The sequence below is a fragment of the Homo sapiens genome, chromosome 1 (genome assembly GCF_000001405.40).
Source record: "Homo sapiens chromosome 1, GRCh38.p14 Primary Assembly".
Taxonomy (NCBI): Eukaryota; Metazoa; Chordata; class Mammalia; order Primates; family Hominidae; genus Homo; species Homo sapiens.
In genome coordinates, this window is record NC_000001.11 from 5795088 (window position 1) to 5802700 (window position 7613).

Sequence of the window (7613 nt, forward strand, 5' to 3'; positions counted from 1 at the left end):
GTGCTGCACCACAACCTGCCGCCAGCCCTGCAGGTGCCCAGCACATAGCACTGCTCTGACCAAGCTACAAGGAGAAACTCAGCTCCCAGGGATTCAGTGCTAAGGAGCGAGGAGGAGGAACTTGTCAGCCCTCAGGGCTCTGAACCCCAACATCTTGTAAAGAATGTCACATCCCACGCCCTGAGGTGGTGGGTTTTGTCTCAGGTCAGAGCGGTGGAAGGATCCAGAACTCTCCCGCAAATATCTGGTCAGCCTGGTTGGTGACAGCAGCCAAAGGGGAGCCCCACTTCCAAGGCCAGTGACCAGCTGTCCCCAAAGATGGCAGCACCATCCAGAGCTGGTAAATATCACTGAGGGAATCCAAGATTTGTGTGCAATACAAATAGTCAACCCAAAACATGTATGAGCCCTCTCTGCACAGCATATCACCAGGGCTCAGTCACTACCAGGGTTTAATCACCATCAGGGCTCAGTCACCACCAGGGCTCAGTCACTACCAGGGTTCAGCCAGCACCAGGGCTCAGTCACTACCAGGGCTCAGTCAGCACCAAGGCTCAGTCACTACCAGGGCTCAGTCACCATGAGGGCTCAGTCACCACGAGGGCTCAGATGCCACCAGGGCTCAGTCACCATGAAAGCTCAGTTGCCACAAGGGCTCAGTCACCATGAGGCCTCAGTTACCACTAGGATTCAGTCAGCATCAGGTTTCAGTCAGCACCAGGGCTCAGTCACCACTAGGGTTCAGTCAGCACCAGGGCTCAGTCAACATGAAGGCTCAGTCACCACAATGGCTCAGTCACCACCAGGGCTCAGTCACCACCAGTACTCAGTCACCGCTAGGGTTCAGTCAGCACCAGGGCTCAGTCACCATGAGGGCTCAGTCACCACTAGGGATCAGTCAGCACCAGGGCCCAGTAACCACCAGGGCTCAGTTCCACAAAGGCTCAGTCACCACAAGAGCTCAGCTGCCACCAGGGCTTAGTCACAACCAGGACTCAGCCACCACCAGGGCTCAGTCATTATTAGGGCTCAGTCACCATCAGGGCTCAGTCACCACCAGGGCTTAATCACTACCAGGACCCAGTCATCAGCAGGGCTGAATCACTATGACAGCTCAGTTACCACCAGAGTTCAGTCACCACCAGGCCTCAGTTGCTACCAGGGCTCAGTCACCACGAGGGCTCAGTCACCACCAGGGCTCAGTCACCACCAGGGGTTAATCACTACCAGGACCCAATCATCACCAGGGCTGAATCACTATGACAGCTCAGTTACCACAAGAGTTCAGTCACCACCAGGCCTCAGTTGCTACCAGGGCTCAGTCACCACGAGGGCTCAGTCACCACCAGGGCTCAGTCACCACTAGGGCTCAGTCACCACCAGGGCTCAGTTATTACCAGGGCTTAGTCACTATCAGAACTCAGTCACAACGAGGACTTAGTCACCAACAGGGCTCAGTTACCACCAGAGCTCAGTCGCCACCAGGGCTCAGTTGCCACCAGGGCTCCCAATCCACACTCAGGCACTCAGGAAGGTGGTCCATGCTCTCAGGGAGCCATTGCCACGCTGGAAGCTCCCGACTCCATGCAGAGACAACAAGGTACACTCAGCCACATGTCACCACTATGGGACCTTTTCTGATGCCCCTCCTCTGTGGCCCCTCTGCAAGTCTCACTTAGGCCACCTGGCCCCTATCCTGGCTGCCCCTCCCCGACAGAGTCTGTCTTCAAGCATCTGACTATTCCTGGAGACCAGCACTTTGTAGACGCTCAGGAAAATAAGTGAGAGGAAGCGAGCAGAGGAATGACAGGTGGAGGAAGGAAGATTATTGGAGTGTAAATGATCACAGGTTTTCTAGGAGACACAAGGCAGGGAGCGGGAGACATAGCACAATGGCAGCCCTGTTCCTGGCTGAGCCTCGGAGGTTTGCCTTGTGCTGAGGTTTCAGCTAAACTGAAGCCTTTCCTCCACTAGGGCCCCGTGAACCAAAAAAATCACTTGCATTAGAAACTGCTGGGTCAATTTGCTAAATATGCAGATTCCCAGGCCCTGCAGATTCTAAATTTACTGGAGTGGCCCAGGAAGCCGTCTCTCCCAGGGGATCTTGAACTCGAAATTCTGAAAGCTCAGCCCCAGCCCCTTGCTCCCTACTCAGAGACCACAGAAAAAGAATCTAGAGTCCCGTTTCTTCCTTCAAGAGAAAAGGTTCATTAAGAGTCACAAAAGTGAAATCCATAAAGACTGGGATTGTTTTCAATAGAGAAATTAAATTAAACAAGAAAAGTCATAAGCTTGAAGTTCAGCCAGGGGTGAGGAGGAAATTGCCAGAACTTGCCTGTGGTTCATGGGGTCAGCTCGTTTGGTGAACTTGCCCCTGCTGACCGAGGCGTGGACAGGGAGGACGCTTGCCTTGCACGCAGAACACTGTGCAGGTGTGCAGGGCCGACCCTCAGACTTCACACCCGGCACCAGGCAAGGTGGGCTCCATCCAGCGAAGTCTAGAAAGTGAGGTGCTGGGGACAGCATCTATTATTTCCATAAAATAGAAACTGCCGCCTGGAAATGCAGGGAGGGGACCTGGGGACTAACCCAGGTGAGATCTGCAACACGGCGCCAGGACCAGGACAGCAAAGGAGAGCAGCCATGAGAACCAGGAATATGGCCTGCTTGAACCACATTTCAAGCCCAGGAAGGTGCAACTACAGCTGGCTTCAAGAGTCGGCTTGATGTGCTTCCCTTTCCTAACAGCTGCCTCTAATGGGTATCTGACTTGGAGAGAGAGTTTCCTCCAGGCTTTCCTGCTGAACACACGTCCTCCTAGCCCACCTGAGCTGCCAGCATCAGGCAGGGGCTTCACTTTTATTGAAAAGCTCAGTTTCCACCAGCGGTGGATTTTCAAGCCACAATTAGCAGGAAATAATCCAGTGAATGCAGAAAGGTTCCTCTCTCTGTCAGAAAATGGTAAAACTCAAACGAAAGGTTTAGGAGGTCCACTGGGAGCACAGCTGATGGGGAGAGAGGAGGTGGAGGGCTGGAGATCCTGCTGAGTCTTGGACAGGCCTCCCAGGGCTCACTTTCCCCTGCAGGGCCAGCAGTGGCCTAGGAGAGCCCGATGAGGTCAGAAGGGGCCTGATCCCTTTGCAGCTGCAGAAAAAACAGTGCCTGTGTTGGGTGGCTGCCAGTGAACCAAGGGCACGGGCATCCCGAGGGGCTCCGCCAAGTCCAGCTCTACACTCCTTTCCCAGCTGCCCAGAGCCAGGACTGACCTTCACATATAGAGGCCACGCCAGGCTCCCTTCCCAGGGAACTATGCGTAAGCCCTTTGTTCTCTGGGGCTTGAGGAATGCAGCCCTCTGCAGACACTGAGTGTCAGGCAGGGCCCTGCCAGGCAACATGGTAGGGAGGCCTCTTCTCTCCCTGCAGCCAACCGTGGCCCTGGGTGGCCGTGGCCAGTTGTCCACGGACCAGGCAGCAGTTGGAAGTCCATGGAAACAAGCACCTTCGGGCCGTGTCACCTCATAGTATATTCAAATCCTGTGTCTCCAGAGCCCAGAACCACAGATCCCCAACCTCCAGCAGGTCCCAACAATCCTCAGGCCGGCTCCCCCGGAGCCTCAGAATTCAGGGAGAAGAGCCAGGCAGCGGATGCGGGCGCCTGCCACAGGGTGGGCAGTCTCTCTGCACTTGCTACCACCGCTGATGGCAACATCCCAGGGTCTGGGTTTGCCCCACACAGCTTCTCAACAAAAAGACACAACTCGGCAAGCATGGGAAAATGGGAGTCCAGGGCTTAGGGAGGCCCCCTAAGGGTAGGGTGACCACACAATGTATCACCCAAACAGGGACCATTAAAAATCAAAGGGAAGGAAAACAGGTATTCAAATAAAACCTTGTACATGGATGCTTATAGTAGCATAAGTCACAGTAGCCAAAAGAAGGAAACGACCCGACTATCCGTCAGCGGATAAGTGGATAAGGACATGTGGCAGAGCTGTGCAAGGGAATATTACTCAGCCATGAAAAGGGAAGGGAGTTCTGACATGTGCTACCACATGGTCAACCTCGAAAACCTTATGTAAGTGAAAGCAGCCAGATGCAAAAGACCGCATATTTATATTATATATTCAGAATAGGTAAATCCAGCTGGGCGCAGTGGCTGACACCTGTAATCCCAACACTTTGGGAGGCCAAGGTGGGTGGATTATGAGGTCAGGAGATCGAGACCATCTTGGCCAACACAGTGAAACCCCGTCTCTACTAAAAATACAAAAAATTAGCCAGGCGTGGTGGCGGGCGCCTGTAGTCCCAGCTACTCGGGAGGCTGAGGCAGGAGAAGGGCATGAACCCCAGAGGCAGAGCTGGCAGTGAGCCGAGATCGTGCCACTGCACTCCAGCCTGGGCGACAGAGCAAGGCTCTGTCTCAAAAAAATAAAAAATAAAAAAGAATAGGTAAATCCATAGGGTCAGAAAGCAGACGAGTGGTTCCCAGGAGCTGGGGGTGGGAGGGCATGACAAGGAGAGACTGCCTCATAGGTCCAGGGTTTCCTTTGGAGAGGATGAAAATGTTCTGGAACTAAAGAGAATCAATGGCTGCATGGCATAGTGAATGTACTCAATACCACTGAATTGTACACTAAAATGGTTAATTGTACATTAAAATGGTTAATTTTATGTTATGTGGATTCACTTCAATTAAAGAAAAAAAAGGAATCAAAGTGGATATGCCAAAGTATGGCAGATGCTGACTAGGAGAGAACAGCAGGACAGCAGGTGTAACCCAGACCGTCCCAGCAGACACGGTGCGTGGTGACCTGACTATGAGGAGGGGTGGCCCAGGGACCCAAGTTTGTCTAGAAGCTGCATGCATCCTTGTCACAGCCCCAGGCCCCAGCCCAGCAGGTGAGGTGGGGAATGCACCCGGGGCTGCCCAGAGGCTCCACCAGACAGAGAGCAACGGACCCAGACCCCCAAGATGCTGGGAGCAGCCATTTCCAGGTGGATCCACACAGCCCCCAGGAAGAAGGGGGTGGGCCCAGTGGGATCACTAGCAGGCCTGAGGCACAAGAGCCTTTGGGAGGAAGCACAGCTGGATGGAAACTTTTTTTCACGCCTATGAAATAACAAGTAGGAGAAGAATGGAAGGCTGCTGGCCAAGGTGCCTCTTCTTGGAGCTGGTGAGAACACCCAGCCGCCAGCCCTCAGCCTTCCACGTTCAGCCAAAGCCAGCTGGGCTGACAGTGGTCAACTCTGACTTAGCAAATGAGGCTTTTTAAATGCACCTGTGTGAGAAGCCCCACTATCCCCAGCATCCCCAGGTTAGGTGAAAGGAGGTCTTGCCTGTGAGAACAAAGCCCAACTCTCCTTCCTGCCCCTCTCCTACCAGGAATCCTATCTTTGGAAAGACCCTTCTCTCCACAAAAAAAAAAAAAAAAAAAAAAGAAAGCAGCAATGTATCTGAGGGTACTTGGAATCTCCATTCACTCCCCCTCCCAGGGCTGCAACTCAAAAACATTTCCAAGAGACGCCAGGGCAGGAGGGACACTCTCTCCCTCTTAGGCCATCTGAGGCATGCTAATTGATGCTGAAATCAAGTTCCTAGAAGTAATTACAGCATGTGCTGGACAGAGACAACATGGGAACATTTTTAAATAGGAGACGTTCAATGCATCAATGTACAAGTCAGCACAGAGACGGGCCAGGGAGAGACTTCAAAGGAATGATCCCGAGAGGCCACAGGAGTGGCATGGACTAGATGGGCAAGGTCCATGTGCCAGCAACACCCATTACTTAAAAAGCAAATGTCCCCCCCACCCCCCACCACAAGGGAAGAGGAAAAAAAATCCAACACTTCTCTCTTCTGTTCTGTATCTGCTTTCCTTGTACATTCAAGAAAACCCTAGGGGAAAAAAAATTGTATTCCTTGTATTCGCCCCATGGGAGTCAATGGGAGGCTGAACAATGACACAAAAAGATATGTTCATGTCGTAACCCCAGAACCTGTGAATGTTTAGGAAACATTCACACGTTGTTTGGGGAAACCTTATTTGGGAAAAGGTCTTTGCAGATGAAGTTCGAAATGAAGGATCTTGAGGTAAGATCATCCTGGACTCTCCGAATGAACCCTAAATCCAATGACAAGTGTCTGTGTAAGAGACACACACATAGAGACATGGGGAGAAGAGGAAATGCCACATGAAGATGGAGGCAGAGATCGGATGATGTGGCCACAAGCCAAGAACACCTGGGGCCATCAGAAGCCAAAAGAGACAAGGAGGAGTCCTCCCCAGAGCCTCTGGAGGGAGCACAGCCCTGGTGGTTTCTTAATTTCCTACTTCTACTCTCCAGAAGCGTGAGAGAATAAGCTTCTGTTGCTTTAAGTCATGCAGATTGTAGTCATTTGTGATGACAGCCCTGGGGAACTAGTGCCCAGGGAGCCTGACTTTTCCAGATCCGACCCCGGCCCTCACCTGCTCGGGCACCTACAGACCAGATTCCTCAGGAGGTCTCCAGGGCTTCTGTGGCCTGGCCCCTGTGTGGCTGCAGTGAAGTTAGCTCTCCCCAGCCTCACTGCCCTCACCACTCTCCACAAGCCGGGGTGCCCGTAGAGGGGGCAGAGTCTGGGCCCCTTCAGGGAGGCTCCTGGATCTTGAGACTGTGAGGCAGGTCTCTCGTGCAAAAGGTGGATGCTGAGTTTGCAGGTGACTCTGTACTGGATGAGCTGTGGTTTTGGCCCCCCACCCTCAAGGCCTGGTCTGGCCCCATGTCTGAATAATCTGGGGTTAGGGGAGGGAGGTGGTAGCTGACAACAGCTCTGTGGCCAGTCTCAGTGGATCACAGAGTCATCCCCCTGGAATAAAGCCACCAGGGCTACAGCGACACTACCTACCCTTGGCTGACCCCATGGGCTGCACTACTGAGCCTGTGAGAGTTGGGTCTAGCCAGCAGCTTCCTGCCCACAGCAGCTTCCTGATGAGCCCAGCTCCCCACGAGCTCAGCCCATGACGCTTTTCTGCAGAATGGCAGAGGCCCAGCCACAGTGCTGATGCATATGAGGGGCAGCCCCTCCTGAGACCCTCTCTGCCCACAGCTAGCCTCCAAGTACCAGTGGCCAGAAGATTTGGGCCTCAGCTAGGTGAGGCCATGGCCATGGGCTGCCCCTTGTGTGCTGCCCTGGGGAACTCTCTTGTCTTGCCCAAGAAGTGGGCAGAGGGGAGAACATGGGAGGCAGCAGTCAGCAGTTGCTACTCATATGACTCTGAGCCCCCACACAGCCCCAAAATGCAGCCTGCCCCCATCACTGCAGCAGAACAGCGTGACGTAGTTGTGAGCAGCTCACACACCAGGTCTGAATCCTGGCTCAGCCACTTACCAGCTGTGTGACCTTGGGTAAGTTACCTGCCCTCTTTGTGCCCCAGTTTCCTCATCTATAAGTTGAGAATGAAAGTGATAATAATACGTATCTCACAGGGTTGTTGTGGCAGTGAGTTAATATTTATAAAGTACATGAGTCAGTGCCAAGCACCTAGTAAGCCACATAAATGTTTGTGAAGTTAGAAATAAATAAATAAGCTCGCTGTGAGCTCAGCTTCTCCATCTACAAAATCAGAGAATTA

General features: G+C 53.0%; 1 annotated feature.

Moving 5' to 3' along the window:
• Positions 2436 to 3145: an enhancer, noted in NCBI's record as "H3K27ac-H3K4me1 hESC enhancer chr1:5857583-5858292 (GRCh37/hg19 assembly coordinates)". NCBI's record gives its function as "activates a minimal SCP1, AML or CMV promoter by ChIP-STARR-seq in naive H9 embryonic stem cells {active_cell/tissue: H9 hESC(naive)}" and the evidence as "EXISTENCE:reporter gene assay evidence [ECO:0000049][PMID:30033119]".